This window comes from Homo sapiens, chromosome 19, assembly GCF_000001405.40.
Source record: "Homo sapiens chromosome 19, GRCh38.p14 Primary Assembly".
Taxonomy (NCBI): Eukaryota; Metazoa; Chordata; class Mammalia; order Primates; family Hominidae; genus Homo; species Homo sapiens.
Genome location: NC_000019.10, coordinates 50,943,303 through 50,969,269, shown reverse-complemented (window position 1 = coordinate 50,969,269; position 25,967 = coordinate 50,943,303). Strand labels below are relative to the sequence as shown.

The 25,967-nt window shown below is 51.1% G+C and overlaps 2 protein-coding genes and 1 long non-coding RNA gene across 20 annotated transcripts in view; 2 read left to right on the top strand and 1 right to left on the bottom strand.

Moving 5' to 3' along the window:
* KLK6 (kallikrein related peptidase 6) overlaps positions 1 to 10,639 on the top strand; it is a 10,961-nt gene extending 322 nt beyond the window's left edge. Inside the window, exons 2-7 of one of the 6 annotated variants that reach the window (NM_002774.4) lie at positions 679 to 729; positions 1,158 to 1,205; positions 1,945 to 2,101; positions 5,721 to 5,968; positions 7,390 to 7,526; positions 9,954 to 10,639. In NM_002774.4, the coding sequence (NP_002765.1) occupies positions 1,166 to 1,205; positions 1,945 to 2,101; positions 5,721 to 5,968; positions 7,390 to 7,526; positions 9,954 to 10,106 (735 nt within the window). In that variant the 5' untranslated portion in view covers positions 679 to 729; positions 1,158 to 1,165 and the 3' untranslated portion in view covers positions 10,107 to 10,639. Of the gene's footprint in view, positions 1 to 502; positions 730 to 1,157; positions 1,206 to 1,944; positions 2,102 to 5,720; positions 5,969 to 7,389; positions 7,527 to 9,953 lie in introns of those variants that run through there. The other 5 variants (NM_001012964.3, XM_024451611.2, NM_001319948.2 and 2 more) reach the window with 5 other exon arrangements.
* LOC105372442 (uncharacterized) overlaps positions 1 to 19,147 on the bottom strand; it is a 24,604-nt gene extending 5,457 nt beyond the window's left edge. For 3 of the 9 annotated variants that reach the window (XR_936036.1, XR_007067303.1, XR_007067305.1), the window contains exons 1-4: positions 5,604 to 5,714; positions 4,760 to 4,842; positions 1,782 to 1,945; positions 917 to 997 (exon numbers count right to left, since the gene is read on the bottom strand). This is a non-coding gene — a long non-coding RNA (uncharacterized LOC105372442). Of the gene's footprint in view, positions 1 to 643; positions 754 to 916; positions 998 to 1,773; positions 1,946 to 4,759; positions 4,843 to 5,603; positions 5,715 to 10,454; positions 10,503 to 11,500; positions 11,634 to 16,331; positions 16,511 to 18,962 lie in introns of those variants that run through there. The other 6 variants (XR_007067301.1, XR_007067304.1, XR_007067306.1 and 3 more) reach the window with 6 other exon arrangements.
* KLK5 (kallikrein related peptidase 5) lies at positions 16,232 to 25,967 on the top strand. Of its 5 annotated transcripts, none has more exons than NM_001077491.2 (7): positions 16,232 to 16,320; positions 16,456 to 16,523; positions 16,602 to 16,685; positions 19,154 to 19,415; positions 20,155 to 20,411; positions 20,497 to 20,630; positions 25,484 to 25,967. In NM_001077491.2, the coding sequence occupies exons 3-7, from the start codon at positions 16,613 to 16,615 to the stop codon at positions 25,637 to 25,639; spliced, it is 882 nt and encodes a 293-aa protein (NP_001070959.1). In that variant the 5' UTR covers positions 16,232 to 16,320; positions 16,456 to 16,523; positions 16,602 to 16,612; the 3' UTR covers positions 25,640 to 25,967. The 5 variants fall into 5 exon arrangements, with proteins under 5 accessions (NP_001070959.1, XP_011525005.1, NP_001070960.1 ...); XM_011526703.3 differs by having other exon boundaries at positions 16,232 to 16,334; NM_001077492.2 differs by lacking the exon at positions 16,456 to 16,523.

Genomic DNA, 25,967 nt, shown 5'->3' with positions numbered 1-25,967 from the left:
GAACTTCCTCTGCCTCAGATTCAGGCCCCAGCCCCTCCTCCCTCAGACCCAGGAGTTTAGGTCCTAGCCCCTCCTCCCTCAGACCCAGGAGTCCAAGTTCCCACCTCCTCCCTCAGACTCAGGAGTCCAGGCCCCCAGCCCCTCCTCCCTCAGACCCAGGAGTCCAAGTTCTCACCTCCTCCCTCAGACCCAGGAGTCCAGGCCCCAAGCCCCTCCTCCCTCAGACGCAAGGGTCCAGGCCCCCAGCCCCTCCTCCCTCAGACTCAGGAGTCCAGGCCCCCAAGCCCCTCCTCCCTCAGACCCAGGAGTCCAGGCCCTCACTGCACTCAGGGACCAGTGCTCCCTTCCCTGGAGGCCTGGTCAGGGGTCACCAAGAGCAGAGCGTGGGGGCGGGAGGAATGTGTGTGGGAGGCCTGGGTAAGGAGGAAAAGGGTGTAGCCAGTCTCCTGGCTCAGGGACCTGAGAGACAGGGGTTAAAAGGACGTTCCAGAAGCATCTGGGGACAGAACCAGCCTCTTCCAGGGAGGCCTGGGAGCTGGGGGTGTGTGTCTGGCAGTCCCTGCAGCCCTGGGCTCTGCGGCCCCTGCGTCCTCCGCTTGGCTCTGCCACTGCATCTGAGTGTCTTCTCTCCTCACGGCTCCCCGCATTTCTAACTCTTTCTGCCTCCTCGTCTCAAAGCTGTTCCTTCCCCCGACTCAAGAATCCCCGGAGCCCGGAGGCCTGCAGCAGGTGAGATCACAGACATCACAGAACCTGCCGGGTGGGCGGGGTGGGTGGCCATTGCGCACAGAGCCAGGCTCCGAGGAAAACTCCCATACAGAGGAAGAACGCTAGGGCCCCCTAGGGTAACCCTCTCCTGTCGACAGGAAGGCAAATCAGTGCCCAAGAAAGTAGAAAGATCTAATCAGAATCTCACCATGGGTTACTGGACCAGTGGACGTAGTTCTGAATTCTCTTTGGCACTGTTTTCGTGGGATCCTCTGATGGAAGATGTGGGCTGAGGAAGAATAAATCAGGAGGCTAGATGGGAAGGACAGAGGTCAAGGCAGGAGACCATAGCAGGCCAGGAAGGAAGGAGAGGATGCAGAGGGAGCAGACAGAGGGATGGGGGGAGGGTCGAGGCAGTGACTAATGGACCATGTGGCTTCCCCTCTCAGGAGCGGCCATGAAGAAGCTGATGGTGGTGCTGAGTCTGATTGCTGCAGGTGGGGAAAGGGCATTTGGATGGGGGAGGCTTGCAGACAGGGTTGGGCTTGTTGATGGAGAAGAGGCTGGTATTGGGGATGGGGATATGCACAGGGTTGGGGTGGGGGAGCTTTGAAATGAGGAAGACGTTGGGGATTAGGCTAAGGGTGGGGAATACAGATAGGGAGGGTGGTGGGAGGTGGGTTTGAAGATATGAGGGTTTGGGGTGGGGTTGGCTTTAGGGATGGGGATCTAAACATAGAAGAGGTAGGAGGTAGGTTGGAAAGTTGGAGAGAGCCCGGGAATAGGGGATACAGTTGGGTTTGTAATGGGAATGGGGTAAGTTTGGGAGTGGAAATACAGAGAAGCTTTTTTTTTTTGAGACAGGGTCTCACTCTGTCACCCAGGCTGGAGTGTAGTGGCATGATCCATAGTTCACTGCAGACTTGAACTCTTGGGTCTCAAGTGACCCTCCCACCTCAGCCTCCCAAGTAGCTGGGACTACAGGCGTATGCCACCATACCCTGCTAATTTGTGTGTGTGTGTGTGTGTGTGTGTGTGTGTGTGTGTGTGGAGATGAGGTCTCACTGTGTTACCGAGGCTGGTCTCAAACTCCTGGGCTCAAGCGATCCTCCTGCCTCAGCTGGGATTACAGGCATAAGCCACTGCACCTGACCAATCTTGACTGGAGTTCATGTTGAGGGGGATGCGCTTGGTTTCTCCAGAACTCCTCTCTGACTCAGATCTTCTCTCCCTCAGCCTGGGCAGAGGAGCAGAATAAGTTGGTGCATGGCGGACCCTGCGACAAGACATCTCACCCCTACCAAGCTGCCCTCTACACCTCGGGCCACTTGCTCTGTGGTGGGGTCCTTATCCATCCACTGTGGGTCCTCACAGCTGCCCACTGCAAAAAACCGTGAGTCTACACTGTAAATGAACAGCAGATGCGACTGAACCCTGAGGGTGTCTTATAGATGTCAGGCAGGAGGTGACATAGGCATCCCCCCCATCCCAGCACGAGGCCATCTGATAGCCAGGTGCATTCGGCTGTTGCTTAATTGAGTACTTAATGTGTGCCAGGCCCTGCGGGCATAGCAGTGGAAAAGAAAATAAAAAAAAGAAAACAAAAAAAAACAAGCAAAATTGCTGTTTTCCTGAACTTACTTTCTAATGGGGGAATTGGATCATTTGGGGACCTGCAGGGCGTGATGGGCATTTGGATTTAATTCTGAGCACAGTAGGAAGCCACTGGGCAGTTTTGTTTTTGTTGTTTGTTTGTTTTTTGAGACACAGTCTCGCTCTGTCACCCAGGCTGGAGTGTAGTGGCATGATCTCAGCTCACTGCAACCTCTGCCTCCCAGGTTCCAGCGATTCTCCTGCCTCAGCACCCCAAGTAGCTGAGATTACAGGTGTGCACCACCTTGCCTGGCTAATTTTTGTATGTTTGGTAGAGACGGGGTTTCACCATGTTGGCCAGGCTGGTCTCGAACTCCTGACCTCAGGTGATCCGCCCGCCTCGCCCTCCCAAAGAGCTGGGATTACAGGCATGAGCCACCACCACACCCAGCCTGATTTACATTTTTACAAGCACCCTGGCTACCACGTGGAACGTGGTCTGGGCAAGAGAGAGGGAGGGAGGCCCACGTGGGGGCTGTTGCTTTCATCCGGCGACATAGGAGGGTGGCTTGAACCCAGGCGGTCGCAGTGGGGATGGAGGGATGTTGAATATCTTGGGATGTGGAATTCTGAGACTGAGCCAGCAGAATCTGGCAACGAGGAACAGGAGGGAGAGGAAGAAGCACGGCTGGCTTCCGTGTATTTGTCCTGAACAACTGGGTGTTTTGCCACGTCTTTCTCTGAGTTGTGGGAGAGGGAAAGAGAAACAGGCCGGGTGTAGGCAGGGGAGCATCTGACATTTTGCTTTAGCCACGATGAGTTGGAGATGCCGGGGAGATGTCCCAGCAGGGAGGCCAGGGAGGACTCTGGAGCTCAGAGGAGAGGTCAGGGCTGGAGGTTAAAATGAAGGCATCGTCAGCAAACAGGTGTATTTAAAGCCATGGGACTAGATGAGATCATCCAAAAAGCTGGCATAGTTGGAGGAGCTGGAGGGCCCAGGACAAAAACCCTGGGCGCTGATCCTCACTAGTCAGATTCACGACAGCTGCCACTTGTTTGATGCTAACTACCAATCAGGTGCTGAGTGAAACCATGTACACACCTTTCCTGGAATGCCCACCACAAGGGACTCTTGGCACCATTTTGCAAATGAGGAAACTGAGGTGCAGGGAAATAGCAAGTGACAATCCCTGGGGTGGTTCCCCTGACCCCAAGGAGACCTTGGATGACTCTCACCACCATCATTCATTCCTTTGATGTACATTGACTAAGAGCACCTGCTAAGTGCCACATTCGAGTTGGGCAGTGGAGATTCAGCAATGGATGGGACACACACGTCATCCCTGCCCTCGGGAGCACAAGGACAGAAAGGTGCAGACAAGCAAAGTGAGGGCTGGGCATGGTGGCTCACGCCTGTAATCCCAGCACTTTGGGAGGCCGAGGTGGGTGGATTACCTGAGTTCGAGACCAGCTTGGCCAACATGGCTCAACCCTGTCTCTACTGAAAATACAAAAAATTAGCCAGGCGTGGTGGTGGGCTTCTGTAATTCCAGCAACTTGGGAGGCTAAGGCAGGAGAATTGCTTGAACGTGGGAGGCGGAGGTTGCAGTGAGCCGAGATCGCGCCACTGCACTCCAGCCTGAACCACAGAGCGAGACTCTGTCTAAAAAAAAAAAAAGGAAAGAAAGAAGCAGCAAATTGGGCTGGCCGTGGTGGCTCATGCCTGTAATCCCAGCACTTTGGGAGGCCGAGGCGGGTGGATCACTCGAGCCCAGGAGTACAAAGCTGCAGTGAGCTGTGATCTACAGAACACCACTGCAGATCCAGCCTGGGTGACAGAGCGAGACCCTGTCTCAAAAAAACAAACAAACAAAAGAAGCAAACCCTTCAAAACCCCATATAATTACAAATTATGAAGGAAAAGAATACGGGTACCTACTTTAGATGGAGGAGGGTCAGGAAGGACTTTCTAATGAGATAAAATCCAAGCGGAGGCATGAAGATGGGAAAAGGAATGTTCAGGGCAGAGGAAAGGCTGTGATAACACCCCTGAGGTGAGAACCGTCTTGAGTATTCTCAGAAAATAAAATTTCCCGTTCACTGGGGGGCAGAAGGTGCTGGGAGATAAGGTTGGAAAGTGACTACAGCCAGATCACACAGGGGCTCCAGTGCCAAGTGGAGGAGCCCAGGCTTTATTCTTAGGACAATGGGGAGCCATGGGTGATGTCTGAGCAAGGGAGTGACTCTCTGTTTCAGGAATATGTATCAAACACCTATCCTGTGCCAGGTGCTGATCAACGCACTGGAGATACTATATCTGAATAGAACAAAAATCCCCATCTTGACATCCTAGAGCTGCACTGTCTAATATGGTAGCCATCAGCCACATATAGCAAATTACATTGAAATTAATGAAATGGAAAATCCACAAGCCACATTTCAAGTACTCAGCAGCCACCTGTAGCTTGTGGTTCCCCCAGCCACCTCTGGACAGTGCAGATCGAGATCATGGCATCGTAGCATTTAGTGGACAGCATTGCTCTGCAAGGAGGAGAAATAACACAATGAGTAAATATTTAACAATAAATATATAGCAGGTCGGATGATTGTGATAGGTTCTCTGGTGGAACAGAAAGCAGGGGAGGGAGATAGGAATTGCCTACTAACAGGTATTTGTATTTTAATTGGGCAACTAAGGAAGGCTTCCCTGAGAGGCGACATTTAAAGGAAGTGAGGGAGTGAGCTATGCAGATACTTGGAGGACAGACTTGCTGGCAGAGGGAACAGCAGTGCAAAGGCCCTGAGGTGGGAAGATCACTATTGTGTTCAAGGCAAGACAGGGAAGCCAGCGTTTGGCTGGAGCAGAGGGAGAGAAGGGGAGAGTGGGAGGAGAAGATGTCTGTGAGATGATGGGGCAGTGCTTGCAAGGCCTGGTGTGCCACGTTGAGAACTTTGGCTTTGATTCTGAGTGAGATGGGAGTCATAGGAGGGGCTGAGCAGAGGAGGCACAGGACCAACTTACATTGTTAAAATATCTCTGGTTGCTTTGTGGAGGATGGACTGTGGGGGACCAGAGACAGAGCAGGGAGCCCAGTGAGGAGGCTACTGCTCTAGTTCAGGTAGGAAGTGAAAAGGCAGCTCAAACCAAGATGGTAGCCGTGGGAAAGGTGAGATGTGGCCAGATTCTGGATATGCTTCAGAGAGGCAAAAGGAATTCTGGACAGCTTGGATGTAGGGCATGAAATAAAGAGAGTGAAGAATAGCCCCCAAGATTATTCTGAAAGGATGGAATTGCCATTTACCCAGCTGGGGAAGACTGTGGGAGGAGCAGGCCAGCGATTCATGACTTCCCAGCCCTCTCTGAAGCCTCAACTGCAGCCCAAGGGCTCCAGGTGAGACCCAGCCCTCTTCCTTCCCAGGAATCTTCAGGTCTTCCTGGGGAAGCATAACCTTCGGCAAAGGGAGAGTTCCCAGGAGCAGAGTTCTGTTGTCCGGGCTGTGATCCACCCTGACTATGATGCCGCCAGCCATGACCAGGACATCATGCTGTTGCGCCTGGCACGCCCAGCCAAACTCTCTGAACTCATCCAGCCCCTTCCCCTGGAGAGGGACTGCTCAGCCAACACCACCAGCTGCCACATCCTGGGCTGGGGCAAGACAGCAGATGGTCAGTAGTGGGAGGCTGGTGGGGAGCAGGCTACTGGCTACTTGGGGAAGTGTGCCAAAGGATGGGGAGTGGGAAAATTGGTGAGGGGCCATGGGAAGATGGGCTAATGGTGAGGACCAATGGGACAGGGTTTCAATGGGAGAAAGGTCAAGGGGGAGGGAGAGTGAATTTGGGAGCTGGGCCAGTGAGTGAACAGCCAATGGAAAATGTAGACCAATGGGTGAATAGCATGGGAGAGATGGAACATAAGATGAAGGTTCAATAAAGAGGGAAGGTCAGTGGGGAGATGCTAATCAGGAAGGATGTCAAAGGTCAAAGGGGACTGATCAGGATTCATTGAACAGCAGGAAGGAATAATGGAGAAGGAACTGATGGAAGAAGAGAAACCAATAAAGCACAAAAGCCAACTGAAGGATGTGAATTGAGACAGTGAATGGGGGTATAGCTGATGGAAGAGGGACTAAGGGGAAAGGATCAATGGTCCAGAGGAGTCACTAGAGGAAAAAACAGGTCCAATAGATCAGCAGGATCCATGAAGGTGGGCCTGTGTGTGAAGGGCCAATAAGAAAGGTGAACCATTGGATGAAGGGCCAGTGGGAAGGCAGAGACAATGGGGGAGGATGCGGCAAGTTAGAAAAGGACCAATGAGGGAGGTGGACCATTGGATGAAGGGCTAATAGGAAGGGAGAGCCAGTGGGGGATGGTGAGGCCAGTTAGAAAAGGACCAAGGAGGGAAGCAGACCAATAGGAAGAGAGAGCCAATGAGGGAGGGCAGGGCCAGTTAGGAAAGGACCAATGAGGAAGGTAGACCATTGGAGGAAGGGCCAATAGAAAGGGAGGATCCATGAGGGAGGGTGGGGACAGTTAGAAAAGGACCAATGATGGAGGTGGACCATTGGATGAAGAACCAATAGAAAGGAAGAACCAATGGGAGAGGGCATGGCCAGTTAGGAAAAGACCAATGGTCACAGAGTGACCAATCAAGATGAATCAATGGGCAGGAAGTGTCCAATGAAGAATGGACTACTGATCAGGAGGGGTACAGTAGAGGAGGGCGTAACAGAGGAAGAGTCCTCCAGGTCAACTGAAACTACTGAAGAAGGTGGGACCAGTGGAAGAGAGAAAAGTGGAGGAGGGACCTAAGAGAAAAGGAAAACCAATAGGAAATGAGGACTCCTGGAGAAGAGACTATTAATGAGGAAGACAGCCAATGGGGGGGAAGAATGATAGAAAGAGGGACCAATTAGGAGGCAGGGACGATGGTAATGAGATGTAAGAATGAGAGACAAACAGGAAGAGGGGTGCCAATAGAAAAGAGGGACCAATAGAGGATGGAGGACTTATAGGGGTTGGGGGGTGACTGGGGAGGATGAGGGGAGTGCAAGGCCTGGGCTGAGTCTGGCCCATCTCTCCCCTAACAGGTGATTTCCCTGACACCATCCAGTGTGCATACATCCACCTGGTGTCCCGTGAGGAGTGTGAGCATGCCTACCCTGGCCAGATCACCCAGAACATGTTGTGTGCTGGGGATGAGAAGTACGGGAAGGATTCCTGCCAGGTGAGGTGACCCGGATCTGCCACTTACACAGCCAGGGACAGGACGAAGTCACAAAAACATGGCCAGACACAGGAAGAGAGAGACACAGGCCAAAAGAGAGCTTTACAGAGACAGATAGAGACAGGCTGAGGGAGAACCCAAGCCTTGAAAAGAAGAGACTTAGTTCAACACACAGAGACACAGTCAGGGATATGCAGAGATATAAAGACACAGCCAGCAGAGACAGGAAGTGCAGAGACAAGGATGGAGGCCGCGGGATCAAGAACCAGAGAGGCCAGGAGCAGCGGCTCATGCCTGTAATCCCGGCACTTTGGGAGGCCGAAGCAGGAGGATCACCTAGGGTCAGGAGTTCGAGACCAGCCTGATCAACATGGTGAAACCCTATCTCTACTAAAAATACAAAAATTAGGATGGGCACAGTGGCTCATGCCTGTAATCCCAGCACCTTGGGAGGCCGAAGCAGGAGGATCACCTGGGGTCAGGAGTTCGAGACCAGCCTGATCAACATGGTGAAACCCTATCTCTACTAAAAATACAAAAATTAGGATGGGCACAGTGGCTCATGCCTGTAATCCCAGCACCTTGGGAGGCCGAAGCAGGAGGATCACCTGGGGTCAGGAGTTCGAGACCAGCCTGATCAACATGGTGAAACCCTATCTCTACTAAAAATACAAAAATTAGGATGGGCACAGTGGCTCATGCCTGTAATCCCAGCACCTTGGGAGGCCGAGGTGGGTGAATAACCAGGTCAAGAGATTGAGACCAGCCTGGCCGATATGGGGAAACCTCATCTCTACTAAAAATACAAAAATTAGCTGGGCGTGGTGGCAGGCGCCTGTAGTCCCAGCTACTCAGGAGGCTGTGGCAGGAGAATCACTTGAACCTGGAGGCGGAGGTTGTTGCAGTGAGTCGAGATCATGCTACTGCACTCCAGCCTGGCAACAGAGCAAGATTCCGTCTCAAAAAAAAACCAAAAAACAAAAATTACGCAAGCATGGTGGGACACACCTGTAGTCCCAGCTACTCGGGAGGCTGAGGCTGGAGAATTGCTTAAACCCAGGAGGCAGAGGCTGCAGTGAGCTGAGATCACGCCACTGCACTCCAGCCTGGGGACAGAGCCAGACTCTGTCTAAAAACAAAAAGAACCAAAGAGAAGTAGTAAGGAAGCAGATGGTGTGAGGGGACTGTCCTTCCTCAAACAGAGCCCCCACGAGTCCTGCTCAGAAACGACCAGGCTCTGGAGGAGGGAGACACTAGCTGGGGAAAGGGGACTCCCTCCCGAATACTTTAACTTGGGTTTCCTCCATTGTCATCCATCCAGGCTCTCCTCTTTATGCCAGAATGACTAATGCACTGAGGGATGTGCAGAGACCAACCAAGGGGGAGACACAGGCAGAAACGGAGACACAGGCAGAAACAGGGACAGAGACAGGGAAAGCGATACATAGCAAGTTGGACGCAAAGAAAGGGCAGGTGGGCGAGACTGTCCTCAAGACACGAGGTGGAGAGGTGTCCCTGGACAGAATAGTGCCAGGCATATCTCTCCCTGGGCCCTCCCTACCTCTCCCACCTGGGTCTTATCGTCTCCTCCTCCCCCTCCTCCCCCTCCCCATCCTCCTCCCCCTCTCCATCCTCCTCCCCCTCCCCATCCTCCTCCCCCTCCTCCTCCCCCTCCTCCTCCCCCCTCCTCTCCCTCCTCCTCCTCGTCTTCCCCCTCCTCCTCCTCCTTCTCCTCTTCCTTCTCCTCTTCCTCCTCCTCGTTCTCCTCTTCCTCCTCCTCCTCTTCCTCCTCCCCCTTTTCCTCCTCCTCCTTTTCCTCCTCTTCTCCTCCTCTTCCTTCTCCTCCTCCTCTTCCTCCTCCTCCTCTTCCTCCTCCTCCTCTTCCTCCTCCTCTTCTTCCTCCTTCTTCTCCTCTTCCTCCTCCTCTTCCTCCTCCTCCTTCTCCTCTTCCTCCTCCTCTTCCTCCTCCTCCTCCTTCTCCTCTTCCTCCTCCTCTTCCTCCTCCTCCTCTTCCTCCTCCTCTTCCTCCTCTCCTTCTCCTCTTCCTCCTCCTTCTCCTCTTCCTCCTCCTCTCTCTCCATCGGTCTCTACACCTCTGCCTCTCTCCACACCTCTCAGTCTCCATTCTTAAATTGTTTCTCTTTCTTGCTCTCTATGTTCCTCTGCATCTTGGCATTCCTATCTCTGTGTCTTTGAGTCTCCTTTATTCTCTCTCTACCATTCTCTCTCTGTGCCTTTGTGTGTCTTACTGTCTCTCTCTCTGTCTCTCTGTCCCTGAGTCTTTCTCTCCATCTTTCAGTAAGTACCTCTGTCCCTTTCTACCTCTCTCTCTGTCACACACACACACACACACACACACACACACACACACACACACACAGTCTCTGGGTTTCTATCTGTATCTGACTTTCTCCCTCTTTCCTGCAGGGTGATTCTGGGGGTCCGCTGGTATGTGGAGACCACCTCCGAGGCCTTGTGTCATGGGGTAACATCCCCTGTGGATCAAAGGAGAAGCCAGGAGTCTACACCAACGTCTGCAGATACACGAACTGGATCCAAAAAACCATTCAGGCCAAGTGACCCTGACATGTGACATCTACCTCCCGACCTACCACCCCACTGGCTGGTTCCAGAACGTCTCTCACCTAGACCTTGCCTCCCCTCCTCTCCTGCCCAGCTCTGACCCTGATGCTTAATAAACGCAGCGACGTGAGGGTCCTGATTCTCCCTGGTTTTACCCCAGCTCCATCCTTGCATCACTGGGGAGGACGTGATGAGTGAGGACTTGGGTCCTCGGTCTTACCCCCACCACTAAGAGAATACAGGAAAATCCCTTCTAGGCATCTCCTCTCCCCAACCCTTCCACACGTTTGATTTCTTCCTGCAGAGGCCCAGCCACGTGTCTGGAATCCCAGCTCCGCTGCTTACTGTCGGTGTCCCCTTGGGATGTACCTTTCTTCACTGCAGATTTCTCACCTGTAAGATGAAGATAAGGATGATACAGTCTCCATAAGGCAGTGGCTGTTGGAAAGATTTAAGGTTTCACACCTATGACATACATGGAATAGCACCTGGGCCACCATGCACTCAATAAAGAATGAATTTTATTATGAGTGGGGCTTTTTGCTTTGATTTGACGTCCACCTTTCTGAAATCTAGATATTCTCAGTTCTCCTTTACAGCCAATTTGATTTTTCCTCCCCTCCAGGAAGGCACTCTTGATGCCTCCACCTTGTGCTATACCTCAAAGATGGCTTTTGCCCCTAAATTTTTTTTTCCCTCCCCAAGATGGAGTCTTGCTCTGTCACCCAAGCTGGAGTGCAGTGGCGCCATCTCGGCTCACTGCAACCTTCGCCTCCCGGGTTCAAGCGATTCTCCTCCCTCAGCCTCCTGAGTAGCTGGGATTACAGGTACGTGCCACCATGCCCGGCTAGTTTTTGTATTTTTAGTAGAGACGGGGTGTCAACATGTTGGCCAGGCTGGTCTCGAACTCCTGACCTCATGATCCACCCACCTCGGCCTCCCAAAGTGCTGGGATTACAGGTGTGAGCCACCGCGCCCAGCCTAAACTTTTGTCACAGCCAAACCAGGAAGGTGGGAGGGTAGGAAGACCACCATGCATGGGTAACGGTGATGGGAGAGGAGGGCAGGGATCAGATCCCCAAGGATCTCAGATGCCAGCATGAGAGGCTGAAACCTTCTCCTGAGGGCACTGGGGAGCCATGGAAAGTCTGTGAGCTGGGGCAGCCCTAGGGCCATGTGCAGGATGAACCAGAGGGGAGACCCTGGAGGCTGGGGCTGGGGAGGAGGTTGAGGTGATGATGCAGGGAGAGAAGATGAGAGTTGAGGTGGGGCTGGGCCCAGGAGGGGTGGAAAGGAAGGCTGGATATGAGGTCACCCTTTGGAGAAGTTCGGGTGGGTGGCATTCTCACAGAAGGAACAACATGTAGACAATCCTGGGGGTGTGAGGACACCTGTGAATCGTCCTGGATGGTGGAGGCTGGCGTTTGAGGTGGGAGAAATGAATGATATGGCTGGAAATGTAGGTCAGCGGAAGATGATGCCACTGAGCGCCAGGCAGAAGAACTTGGACCTGATCCCGAGGGCCTGGAGAAAAGGAAGGACGTGGTCGGATCTGGGCTTTAGAAAGACCCTATGATCTTTGCCTTAAGAATCAGAGAAATGCAACATTCTATCATGGGGACGTGATGGAAGGAAGTGGCTGACTTTGTGACTTGATGGAATTATGAAGTCATGTGAATGACCTGGGCCCCCCTTGAGCAACCTTCTCCGGAAAAGCCGTGAAATTCACCAGGGTCACCAAGAGGAACCCAGCCAATGACGGTCCAGACCAAAATCAGCTGCAGTTAATTGAGAGAAAATTGACTTTCTTTTTTTCTTTTTGAGACAGAGTCTCAGAGTCTCACTCTGTCACCCAGGGTGGAGTGCAATGGCACGATCTCGGCTCACTGCAACCTCTGCCTCCCGGGCTCAAGCAGTTCTCCTGCCTCAGCCTCTGAAGTAGCTGGGATTACAGCTGTGTGCCAGCACACCCAGTTAATTTTTTTTTTTTTTTTTTTTTTTTTTTTTTTTTTTTTTTTTTTTAGTACAGACAGGGTTTCACCGTGTTGACCAGGCTGGTCTCAAACTTCCGACCTCAAGTGATCCATGAATCTCAGAATCCCAAAATGTTGGGATAGCAGGCGTGAGCCATTCAGAAAGAAATTGACTTTCTGAATGGATAATAAGAATAATGATAGTCATGACAACAGTAATAATAATAATTTAAAATATACTGATTAGCACTTACCAGGTACTATTCTAAGTGCCTTACATATATTAACTCATTTGATCCTCATCACAAGCCTGTGAGGTGGATACCATTATTGTTCCCATTTTACAGACAGGGAAACCAAGGCACAGAGGGGGTCCATGGTGTGATCAAAGCCTCACAGCTAGTAGATGGCTACACCAGAATTTAAATGCTAGGGGCTGGTTCCACAGTTTGGGCTCCTAACCACTCTTCTGTGCTGAAGTCTTCTTGTAATTCTGAGATGTTTTGGAACTGAGCATTAAAATGTTTAGACATCCAACCCTTCTTATGAATTTTATTTTTTTGAAGCAGAATCTCTACACTTTTGGTATTTTAGGTGCTTGTGTGTCTAAGAGAATTTCACCTGTTATAGGGAAAGCCTTGTGACTTCAGCTTTAAATGTGTAATAATTGAGCTGTGATTTTTTTAAGATGGAGTTACGCCAAGTTAATATCCAGCATTGGGATATCTGAAAGAATGCAACATGGGTCATATTTATGAGTGTAATACACTCAGATGTACAAACTCACTTCAATGCTTTGGAAGTGGTGCCTAAAAATCAAGGGACTTCCAGAAGAGATTGAATATGTTGGTTTTAGAAATGTAGTTTAAAATGTCTGAAGGTGTTTAATTAACTTAGTTTGTGAATAGGACCAAGCATTATTATGAGGACCCCATAGGCCGGGTGCGGTGGCTCACACCTGTAATCCTAGCACTTTGGGAGGCTGAGGCGGGCGGATCACGAGGTCAGGAGATGGAGACCATCCTGGCTAACACGGTGAAACCCCGTCTCTACTAAAAATACAAAAAAATAATTAGCCGGTGTGCCTCCTGTAGTCCCAGCTACACAGGAAGGAGGCTGAGACAGGAGAATCGTTTGAACCCAGGAGGCGGAGGTTGCGGTGAGCCAAGATCGCACCACTGCACCCAGCCTGGGAGACAGAGTGAGACTCCATCTCAAAAAAAAAAAAAAAAAAAAAAAAAAAAAACTTAAAAGCAACTGATGTCTAAAAGAAAGAAAGAAAAAAAAGATTTATCTAGACCAAAATGGGTTGCAAACAACTTAAAAGACTAAGGAAGAAATAGGTTGCTGGTTTTGTCACTTTATTAATTAATTAATTTATTTATTTTGAGATGGAGTTTCGCTCTTGTCACCCAGGCTGGACTGCAGTGGCGTGATCTCAGCTCAATGCAACCTCCACCTCCCAAGTTCAAGCGATTCTCCTGCCTCAGCCTCCTGAGTAGCTGGGATTACAGGCACCCGCCACCACGCCTGGCTAATTTTTGTATTTTTAGTAGAGACAGGGTTTCACCATGTTGGCCAGGCTGGTGTCGAACTCCTGACCTTGTGATCCACCTGCCTTGGCCTCCCAAAGTGCTGGGATTACAGGGGTGAGACACTGCGCCCGGCCACGGTTTTGTCACTTTAATGAATGAAATATTAATTGTCATAATCAAAATAAACCTCAGAATAGGTTTTTGTTATTTTGGGTTTTTTGGTATTTTCCCTGTGCACTAAAACCAGTCCTGAGTGCTCTAAAATCTCCCCTTTAACAGAATTATAGATGTGAGCAACACAGCTCGGTTGTTTTTTTGCCCTCAAGGAATGAGGGCTCAAAGAAGGCAGCATCTTCAGGCGTCTTTGTCATTTTGTTCACGGACACCTGAGTCTGATTGTTCACAGACACCTGTGTCTGGCACATCACAGATGAATGTTTCATTAGCTCTTGCTTCCTAGTGAGGACAGAGACAAGGAGACACGAAGACAGATGCAAAGAGCTGGCGGCAGATGGAAAGAAAAGCTGGCGTAGAGACGAGGTCAGGAGAGGTGGCCTCAGATGGCTCAGGAGTGGAGAGGGAGAAGCCACCTTTCGGGTTCCCCACCCAATGCCCATTTCCCAAGCCGTCTGCCCCTCTCCTGGCCTCTTGATCTATTTTCCCAATAACAAGTAGCCCTGCCCAACTCTCTCACCCATGCCTGGCCACACCAGCCGGGCCACGGCACCTGCAGATTCCCAGACTGGGTCCCTGCCTCTTTGTGCTCCACGGCCTGGGCCCAGAGTGAAGGCAAGAGAAGGAGTTGAGAGCTCCCTCTGCAAAGTGGCTTGAGTCTCCCCTGCCTAAAATGCAGGGAGAGGGAGGCAGAAAGACAGGGAAGGAGGAAGGGGTGGGGAAGAAAGAGAGAGAGAGAGAGAGACAGAATAACACAACTACAGAAACACAGAGAGAACACACAGAGAGCCTGGGACACAGGGACACACAGAGTCAGAGAGAAAAGAGAAGATAGAGAAAGACACAAATGGAGACACAGAGGTGTAAAGAAAGAGAGATTAACAGAGTCCCAGATACACGCAAAGGGGCAGAAGCACAGTTTTCAGGGTGGTGTCTATGATCATCTTCTTTTTTTTTTTTTTTTTTTTTTTTTTTTGAGACGGAGTCTCGCTCTGTCGCCCAGGCTGGAGTGCAGTGGCGGGATCTCGGCTCACTGCAAGCTCCGCCTCCCGGGTTCACGCCATTCTCCTGCCTCAGCCTCCCAAGTAGCTGGGACTACAGGCGCCCGCCACTACGCCCGGCTAATTTTTTTGTATTTTTAGTAGAGACGGGGTTTCACCGTTTTAGCCGGGATGGCCTCGATCTCCTGACCTCGTGATCCGCCCGCCTCGGCCTCCCAAAGTGCTGGGATTACAGGCGTGAGCCACCGCGCCCGGCCATGATCATCTTCTTGACTATGCTGATGTGACAAGTACCTAAAGCCATCAGACTCTACCCTTTAAATATGCAGTTTGGGCCAGGCACCGTGGCTCATGCCTGTAATTCCAGCACTTTGGGAGGCAGAGGTGGGTGAATCACTTGAGGCCAGGAGTTTGAGACCAGCCTGGCCAACATGGTGAAACTCTGTCTTTACTAAAAAAAAAAAAAAAAAAAAAAAAATCAGCCGGGTGTCGTGGGGCACACCTGTAATCCCAGCTATGCTGGAGGCTGAGGCACGAGAGTCACTTGAACCCTGGAGGCGGAGGTTGCAGTGGGCCGAGATCACATCACCGCCCTCCAGCCTGGGCGACAGAGCAAGACTCTGTCTCAAATAAATAAATAAACAAACGAACAAGCAGTTTGTTGTACCTTAGTTATATCTAAAAAAAAAATGCTGTCAACAAATAGAGCAGAAGTGAAATAAAGGAAAATAAATGGGCCAAGAACTCTAAGGTATATTTGACAAATCATTCAGAACCTTTAAAAAAGAAAGAATCACAGAGGCATAGAAAGACAGGGAGGAACAGGGAGACAGAAACACCTGTGGCCCAAGGAGAACAAAACAAGGCTCCTAAGACAGACAGGAGGAGAGAGAGAGAGAGTGAGTGAGAGACAGACAGAGAAAAAGACAGAGAGAGAGAGACAGAGACAGAGAGACAGAGAGGCGAGAGGGATAGAAAGAGAGAGAGGGGTGGAGAGAGACACGAGATATTGAGAGAGACTCAGAAAGATAGCCGAGGGAGAACCACAGAGAGATGGAAGAAGACTCTGAGAAAAAACCAGAGACAAAGATGGAAAGAGGAGTATCGAGGGTGAACAGACAGTGGTGGAATGAGCAAAATGCAGAGAAGAAAGCAAGCAATCCAGGCGCCAAGAATAGTGACCCAGAGTTGGTGAGAAGCCAGATCCTTAAGGCTGGGGGAGGCAGGGAAGGGGCTGGCCTGGCTTCCGGAGACCCCTCCCCATTCTCCGGGCCAGGGAGGTAGGGAGTGACATTCCGGACTGGGTGGGGGGTGCTCTGGGGGTGGAGATAGGGGGAGCAGGAGGAGCTATTGCTAAGGCCCGATAGGCACCTCATTGCCCGGGAATGTGCCCCAGGGAGCAGTGGGTGGTTATAACTCAGGCCCGGTGCCCAGAGCCCAGGAGGAGGCAGTGGCCAGGAAGGCACAGGCCTGAGAAGTCTGCGGCTGAGCTGGGAGCAAATCCCCCACCCCCTACCTGGGGGACAGGGCAAGTGAGACCTGGTGAGGGTGGCTCAGCAGGCAGGGAAGGAGAGGTGTCTGTGCGTCCTGCACCCACATCTTTCTCTGTCCCCTCCTTGCCCTGTCTGGAGGCTGCTAGACTCCTATCTTCTGAATTCTATAGTGCCTGGGTCTCAGCGCAGTGCCGATGGTGGCCCGTCCTTGTGGTTCCTCTCTACCTGGGGAAATAAGGTAGGGGAGGGAGGGGAAGTGGGTTAAGGGCTCCCCGGATCGCCTGGGCCTCCCAACCCTCTGACATTCCCCATCCAGGTGCAGCGGCCATGGCTACAGCAAGACCCCCCTGGATGTGGGTGCTCTGTGCTCTGATCACAGCCTTGCTTCTGGGGGTCACAGGTAACCAGAACTCTGGGGTGGGAGGGTTGTGGGATTGGGAGGACTGTCTCTGCGGCACTAGAGCGCCTGTCCCCTGGGGAACTGTGTGAGCCTGGGCATGACTCCGGGACCGGGTGAATGTGAGTCTCTGTCTGTACTTGTGGTTGTGCGATCGTATGTGGCCCTGTGACTGCCACGGTGTGTGTCGGGGAGGGGGATGCCTTTTCCCATATCAGGTGACTGTGCGGCAGGTGGCACTGACCCTTTGAGGCTGTGTGTGTGGTTTTGTGATTGTGTGTGCATTTAAGATTGTGTGTGGCTCCACAGCTGTGTGGGTGAATGCATGTAGCACTGGGGGTGTTCACTGTGTGTTTGGCTGTGTGTGGTGACTTGGCATTGTATATGACTGCAGGTATCTGCAGTTCCTGTCCCTGAGGTCCCGGGATTGCGTGCAACAAAAGTGGTCATCACCATGGAAAGCTGTGACTGTGTGCTGCTTGCAGGCGATTATGTGATTGTGGCTGAGTGTGACGTTATGGATGCCCGTATTTGTGACCGTGTGACTACCTGAAGCTCTGTGTAGGGGTGACTGTATGTGACTGTGTGTGTCTGTGTGAGGCCGTGTAAATGCTACTGTATGTGTGATGGTGCAGCTGTGTGTCTGGAGTTTCTGTCTCTGCCTGGAGGGATAGAGGGTGCAGGGGTAGCTATCTCTGGGAGATGGGTGCCAGGTGACTGACTTGCAGTGTGTGCCTGTGTGCAGAAGAGTATGTGGCAGTCTGAACATCTGTGCACACACGGCATCTGTGCGTGGCACTGAGACACTGTGGATGAGGGTGTGCGATCCCGCTAGGCTGCCCGGGAGCGTGTGTACCTGGAGACAGAGCTGTATGTTAGCTGCACCTGTGGAGGCAACATGGGCGTGTCTGCAGAACTGCGTGCGTGCTTGGCTGTTACTGCTGTTGTGCGCGTGGTTCTTGGGGTGAGTTCGTGAATGATGGTGGTGCCAGGGCCATCAGCAAGGGTAAGAACCAGGCCGGGCGCGGTGGCTCACGCCTGTAATCCCAGCCCTTTGGGAGGCCGAGGCAGGCGGATCACCTGAGGTCGGGAGATCGAGGCCAGCCTGACCAACATGGAGAACCCCGTCTCTACTAAAAATACAAAAAATTAGCTGGTGTGGTGGCGCGTGCCTGTAATCCCAGCTACTCGGGAGACTGGGGCAGAAAAATCGCTTGAACCCGGGAGGTGGAGGTTGCGGTGAGCCGAGATCGCGCCATTGCACTCCAGCCTGGGCAACAAGAGCGAAACTCCGTCTCGAAAGAAAAAAAGAAAAAAAAAAGGGTAAGAACCAGTGAATGGGCACGGGAGGACTGATGATGGAGTGGGGCATGCATGTAGTCTGTAGGTCTGTGTGTGAGAGGAGGAGATTGACAGGATTGAGAAGGCATGTTTTCATCTGAGAATTCAGAAACCTAGGCCTGCTCTTCCCCTCCATGTGGCCCCCTAAGCTGAGCCCTTCTTTCCTGGTCCTGCTTTCGGAACCCTAGCTCCGCCCATGAGCTCTGACCCCACCTCCTTTCCTCAACCACGCCCCTAGGCCAGACTCTAGTGGACCCCGCCTAAGGCCACACCCCTTTGGGCCAGGCTCCACCCCCTATTCTGTGGGTACCTTCTAGAACCCCCTTCAAAGTCAGAGCTTTTTTTTTTTTTTTTTTGGAGACAGTCTTGCTCTCTCTCCCAGGCTGGAGTGCAGTGGCGTGATCTCGGCTCACTGCAACCTCTGCCTCCCAGGTTCAAGTGATTCTCGTGCCTCCACCTCCTGAGTAGCTGGGATTACAGGTGCGCGCCACCACGCCTGGCTAATTTTTGTGTCTTTAGTAGAGACAGGGTTTCACCTTGTTGGCCAGGCTGGTCTCAAACTCCCAACCTCAGGTGATCCGCCCACCTCGGCCTCCCAGAGTGCTGGGGTTACAGGCGTGAGCCACCGCCCCCAGCCCAAAGTCAGAGCTCTTTATAGGAGACTCTAACATGTAACCCTGACCCTGGCCCTAACTAAGTCAATTCCAAACCCCTTCCTGCCTCCAGCCCTGACCCCACTCACTGAGGCCTGACCCCACTTCTTGAGACCAGTTCCATCCCTAAAGCCCTGGTCTCCCTCCCATCCCCAGGCTCCAGCCCCCACAGCTTTGGCACTACCCCTGAGCTTGTCCAGGAATCCTGTACCCAATTTTACCCTCACATGTAGTTCTAGCCAATTCCAGGAATCTGTGAGGTCCAGTTAGAGTCCAGTAACCCTACCTGAGCCTGGGCTCTGTCCTTGAGCTTGAGCCTGGGCTTGAGAGGTGCCACTCTTATTCTCCAGGCCCTGCCCCTGCCCCCTCAGCATGTCAGACACCCACCCTCTAGCTGGTCTGGCCTCTTGAGTCTGAAACCCACCCCCAGCCCAAGCCCCGCCTCTGAGCCCCGCCCAACCCATTTTCCGTTCCCAGAGCATGTTCTCGCCAACAATGATGTTTCCTGTGACCACCCCTCTAACACCGTGCCCTCTGGGAGCAACCAGGACCTGGGAGCTGGGGCCGGGGAAGACGCCCGGTCGGATGACAGCAGCAGCCGCATCATCAATGGATCCGACTGCGATATGCACACCCAGCCGTGGCAGGCCGCGCTGTTGCTAAGGCCCAACCAGCTCTACTGCGGGGCGGTGTTGGTGCATCCACAGTGGCTGCTCACGGCCGCCCACTGCAGGAAGAAGTGAGTGGGAGTTCCAAGAGGAGGGTTGGTGGGGACGGGGAAGTGGGGGTGGGGGTGGGGAAGTGGGGGTGGGGGTGTCATGGAGGTGAGGGCTGGTGGGGACGGGGAAGTGGGGTTGGGGGTGTCATGGAAGGTGAGGGTTGGTGGGGATGGGTTGGGGATGTGGGAGCAGGAGGAGGTCGAGTTGGGGATAGGACTAAGGATGGAGTTTTGCGGGGGAGCAAGGTGGGAGGATGAGGTTGGAGAGGGGAGAGTGTTGTGGTAGGGAATGGGAAGGAGCCAAGGATGGGTTGGATTTGGGGTTAGGAGCATATATTTGTTGAATGGTTTGGGATGGAGGTGGAATTGGGATTGGCTTTAGAATTGGGGGTGGGTGAAAATCGGGCTGGGGTGGAAATGAAGATAGCATGGAGATAGGGTTGAGATTGGGAGCAGATATAGAATGAAGGATGGGGATTGGAGTTTTGGGTGGGGTTGGAGATGGTTGGATTTGGGCTTGAGAATGCATATGGTGATGGCTTCTGGGTAGGGAAAGAATTAGGGTTGGGAATGGGATGGGTTTGGAATTGTGACTGGGATGGGGACAGGCATGGGATTGGAGACCAAGAGGGAGTTGAGGATGGTTTGGGGACCGGGGGTGGGGATGGGGGTGGGGCTGGGGCTGGGTGTGGGGTTGGGATTGGCGTTGGACGTGGAGATAGAGATCAGGGTTGGTGGTGACCTGCCCCATCTTCCTCAGAGTTTTCAGAGTCCGTCTCGGCCACTACTCCCTGTCACCAGTTTATGAATCTGGGCAGCAGATGTTCCAGGGGGTCAAATCCATCCCCCACCCTGGCTACTCCCACCCTGGCCACTCTAACGACCTCATGCTCATCAAACTGAACAGAAGAATTCGTCCCACTAAAGATGTCAGACCCATCAACGTCTCCTCTCATTGTCCCTCTGCTGGGACAAAGTGCTTGGTGTCTGGCTGGGGGACAACCAAGAGCCCCCAAGGTGAGTGTCCAGGTTCTTCTTGATACCGACCCATCTCTGCCGCCTTCCATCTTTCTCCACTTCTCATTGTGTTCCTGTTTGACAGTGCACTTCCCTAAGGTCCTCCAGTGCTTGAATATCAGCGTGCTAAGTCAGAAAAGGTGCGAGGATGCTTACCCGAGACAGATAGATGACACCATGTTCTGCGCCGGTGACAAAGCAGGTAGAGACTCCTGCCAGGTGAGGACACCTCTCTTTATTCAGCAGATACACACTGAGTGCCAACTCGGTAACATGGAGCGTTGCCAAATTCTGAGAATCCAGCAATTGCCAAGACAGTCAGGACCCCTGTTCTCACAGAGCTCATACCCTAGAGTAGTGGTGTTTAGTAGAAATAATGCTGAGCTGCTTATGTCATTTCCAGTTTTTTAGTAGCCACATTAAAACAGGTAAAAAAGGCTGGGCGCAGTGGCTCACACCTGTAATCCCAGCACTTTGGGAGGCTGAGGCAGGCAGATCACCTTTGGTCAGGAGTTTGAGACTAGCCTGGCCAACATGGCGAAACTCTGTCTCTAAAAAAAAATACAAAAATTAGCCTGGCATGGTGGCGGGCGCCTGTAATCTCAGCTGCTCAGGAGGCCGAGACACAAGAATCACTTAAACCCAGGAGGTGGAGGTTGCAGTGAGCTGAGATCGTGCCACTCACTCCAACCTGGGAGACAGAGTGACACTTTTGTCTCAAAAAGAAAAAAAAAAACAAGTAAAAAAGAAACAGGTGAAGTTAACTTTAATAACCCAATGTATCCCAAATACAATCATTTCAAAGTGTAATTAATATAAAACAATTATGAATGAGATACTTTACATTCTTTTCTTGTTTTCATATTAAGTCTTTGAAAGTGAGTATATATGTTATGCTGACAGCACATCTCAATTTGGACTAGCTACATTTCAGGTGCTCAGTAGCCACATGTGGCTAGCAGTTACTGTATTGGATGGCACGGATCTAGAGGGAAAGATCAGGGCTGTTTTGTATGGTTGGGCAGGTTGTGCACTGCATAAAGATACCATATCTAATAGGGGCACTCCGTGTTACAGATGTCAGTTTTGGCAGTTTTCAGGCGTGTGGTAGTTAAGTGTCTTGTTTCAACAAAATCTGTAATATGACAGTTTTCTAGCAAGTGCTGGTAAAATATCTTGAGGAAGGAAAAGAGAAATCTGGTAGGTATTTTTACAAGAGAATATTTAATACAGGGGATTAATTGCAAAGCTGCTGGAAGGGCTGGAGGAACAAAGTTAAAAAATAAAAAACTCTGTGGTCAAGAATCTGCATAAATAGGGCAATTTCAGAGAGTGGTAAAGGTTAACCCCAAAATAAAACATGGTTTTAGGATAGTAAACAATAAGGGCCAATATTCAAAAAGGTGGTCAGGGGAGCCTCCTTGGAGAGGTGGCATTTGAGCAGAGAATGGATGACACAAAGAAGCTAAACTCGTGAAGTTTAAGGGGAAAGAAAAGGCACGTGCAAAGGCCCTGAGGCAGTAAGGAATTTGGCTGATTCAAAGAAGAAGAGGAAACCAATGCAACTGGAGAACAAAAGTGGGGGCAACAGTAGAAAGTGACGCTGGAGGTGTAGGCAGGGGCGAATGCTCTGCAAGTATTTCTTGGTCACCAACACAGAGCTTCCCTATGTTCTAATGGAAGCTGTATCTGTTGAGGAAGACAGAATTTAAAATCAAACTGTTACATCAACCAGCACCCTTCTCTGTATTCAGGCTCCCAAGGGATCTAGAAGGACGTAAGTTAACAAGCTCTCATTAGCAGGGTGTGTGTTTCAACAGTAGTTAGGAAGCTGGGGATTCAGGAGTACTCCAGTCCCATGGCTATGAAAAGCTCCCCCCAAATTGTACAAACCTGACAAATGCAACACCTCCCCAGCTCTCCCCATTTCTTCTCTGTGCCCTGGGTGTGGGGGGGTGGGTTGCGAGGGGGAAAACTTTTAACAGAAGAAAGCACATCTCGGCCGGGCGTGGTGGCTCACACCTGTAATCCCAACACTTTGGGAGGCCGAGGCGGGTGGATCACTAGGTCAGGAGATGGAGACCATCCTGGCTGACACGGTGAAACCCTGTCTCTACTAAAAACACAAAAAATTAGCCGGGCGTGGTGGCAGGCGCCTGTAGTCCCAGCTACTCGGGAGGCTGAGGCAGGAGAATGGCCTGAACCCGGGAGGCGGAACTTGCAGTGAGCCGAGGTTGCACCACTGCACTCCAGCCTGGGCAACACAGTGAGACTCCGTCTCAAAAAAAAAAAAAGAAAAGAAAAGAAATCACATCTCATTCAAGTGGTGGCATTTAAAACTATTTAGCCTTTCTGTAGGCAAGGTTAGTATCTTGTTTTTCCAGACCTCAAGGTGTTTTTTTGTTTGTTTTTTCATACCGGTGTGTGGTCTGGGTGTGGCCACTAAAAGCTACAAGCAAGAAATAATAACAACTACAACAATACTAATACCAATAGTATAAAAATAATAGCATCTGGCTAATTGCTGGACACTGTTTTAAGTGGTTTGCATGCCTCAGCTCATTAACTCATTTACCTGTTATTATTGGCCCTATTTTACAAACAAGGAGCCAAGGCTCAGAGCAGTTAACTAACAGCCTCTCAAAAGAAACTCTGCAGAGATATTAAATTTAAAAAATAATGAGAGAAATTAAACCACAAGAAAGTTGAAATTTAGAGGTACAGGCAGCTAAGCTTGTTTGCTTTGAAACAGTGTCTGCTACTGGGAAAAAGGCAAGTCTTGGCTTTCCTAATAATTGATACCAGGACTCTGTAATTCATATTTTGCATGCATGTAAGTAAGAAATGAAGCCGGGTGCAATGGCACATGCCAGTAATCCCAGCACTCTGGGAGACTGAAGTGGGAAGATCACTTGAGCTCAGGAGTTCAAGACCAGCCTGGGCAACTAAAAATTAAAAAAATAAAAATACTAATTGTTTTTATTTTAGTAGATTTTATTCATACCACTTACATCATTATTGTAGTATGTACATATTTATTTCTTTTCTTTTCTTTTCTTTTCTTTTTTGAGACGGAGTCTCGCTCTGTCACCCAGGCTGGAGTGCAATGGCACCATATCAGCTCACTGCAGCATGCGCCTCCTGGGTTCAAGCATTTCTTCCACCTCAGCCTCCCAAGTAGCTGGGATAACAGGCACCCACCACCATGCCTGGCTATTTTTTTTTTTCCGTAGAGATGGGGTTCCACCATGTTGGCCAGGCTGGTCTTGAACTCCTGACCTCCAGTGATCTGCCTGCCTCGGCCTCCCAAATTGCTGGTATTACAGGTGTGAGCCACCGTGCCCAGGTGGGAGATAGACATTTCTCTCTACCTCAAACAGAGGTCCACTCAAGCTACTTTTCATTTTCTTCATAAATATTAGCCGAGTGGCTATTTTGCACCAGGAATGGTTCCAGGTGCTGTGGATATGGCATCAGGCAAAACAGACCAAAAACTTCCTGCCGCGTGGACCTCATGTTCCCCAAGTGGAAGACAGGCAATAAAGAGATAGATAAATATGTAGTAAATTAAAAAAAAAAAAAATTAGCCGGGTGTGGTGGCTTGCACCTGTAGTTCCAGCTACTTGGGAGGCTGAGGTGGGAGAATTGCTTGAGCCCAAACGTTTGAGGCTGCGGTAAGCCATGACTGCACTGCTGCACTCCAGACAGCAGCCTGGGTGACAAAGCAAGACGTTTTTGTCAGAAAGAAAAAAAAAAGAGACGAAGGGAGGAAGGAGAGAGAAAGGAAGGAAGGAAGGAGAAAGAAAGGAAGGAAGGAGAAAGAAAGGAAGGAAGGAAGGAGAAAGAAAGGAAGAAAGAGAAAGAAAGAAAAAGAAAGAAAGAAAGAAGAAAGAAAAGAGAGAGGAAGGAAGGAAAGAAGGAAAAGAGGGAAAAAAATGACTGTTGAAGAGCAGTGAGTATTATTATAGGAGGGTAATTATAGGGAGGTATGGGGAATTGAAGACAGGAAACACAAATTAGTCCAAGCGAATGGATTTCTATTGGGAGTGATTCTGCCCCTAGAAGACACTGGCAATACCAGGAGACATTTTTGGTTGTCACAACTATATGGAGGGGCATTACTGGCAACTAATGGATAGATGCCAAGTGTGCTGTTCAACATGCTATGATGCACACGGCAGGCCTCCACAACAAACCATTATCCAGCTTCAGATGCCCACAGTGCCCAGATCGAGGAACCCTCATCCAGGGGCTGAGAACCGTATTTTTGCAGAAGGGAGGTATAAGGATGGGTTGGTGGAGAATGGGGAAGGAAGGTGTGTGTCCAGTAAGAGAAATAAGGCCTGCACAGGCTGGAGGGGAGAGTGAGAGAGAAAGGGAGGCGGAGAGATACACGATGAGGGAGACAGGCTGGAACAGAAAGTAGAGACGAAGATTCGAGATGTGGAGAGGAAGGGTCACAGACCCCCCCGAAATGATGTGTGGACAACAGGAATCTGGAAGAGGAAGATGGAGTGGAGAGTGACAAATGGGGTCTAAAGGTTGAACTTGGAGGCCAGGCATGGTGGCTCACGCCTGTAATCCCAACACTTTGGAGGCTGAGGTGGGCGAATCACTTGAGGCCAGGAGTTCGAGACCAGCCTGGCCAACATGGTGAAACCCCGTCTCTACAAAAAAAATACAAAAAATTAGCCGGGTGTGGTGATGGACACCTGTAGTCACAGCTACTTGGGAGGCTGAGGCAGGAGAATTGCTTGAACCCGGGAGATGGAGGCTGCAGTGAGCTGAGGTCAGGCCACTGCGCTCCAACCTGGGCAACAGAGTAAGACTCCATCTCAAAAAAAAAAAAGCTGGATTTGGAGTGAAATATTAATAACATTCTCCCTCTCTCTCCTTTTGCCTGTGTCTCCATCTCTGTCTTTTTCTGCATTTCTTCATCTCTGTACTTTCCATCTCTGTGTGTCTGTTCCCATCTGCTTCTCCATCTATGGGCATCTCTGGGTCTCTCATGTCTCCTTCTGCCCACTTTGCCACATCTCTGCCTCTCTCATGCCCCCCTTTCTCTCCTGCAGGGTGATTCTGGGGGGCCTGTGGTCTGCAATGGCTCCCTGCAGGGACTCGTGTCCTGGGGAGATTACCCTTGTGCCCGGCCCAACAGACCGGGTGTCTACACGAACCTCTGCAAGTTCACCAAGTGGATCCAGGAAACCATCCAGGCCAACTCCTGAGTCATCCCAGGACTCAGCACACCGGCATCCCCACCTGCTGCAGGGACAGCCCTGACACTCCTTTCAGACCCTCATTCCTTCCCAGAGATGTTGAGAATGTTCATCTCTCCAGCCCCTGACCCCATGTCTCCTGGACTCAGGGTCTGCTTCCCCCACATTGGGCTGACCGTGTCTCTCTAGTTGAACCCTGGGAACAATTTCCAAAACTGTCCAGGGCGGGGGTTGCGTCTCAATCTCCCTGGGGCACTTTCATCCTCAAGCTCAGGGCCCATCCCTTCTCTGCAGCTCTGACCCAAATTTAGTCCCAGAAATAAACTGAGAAGTGGAA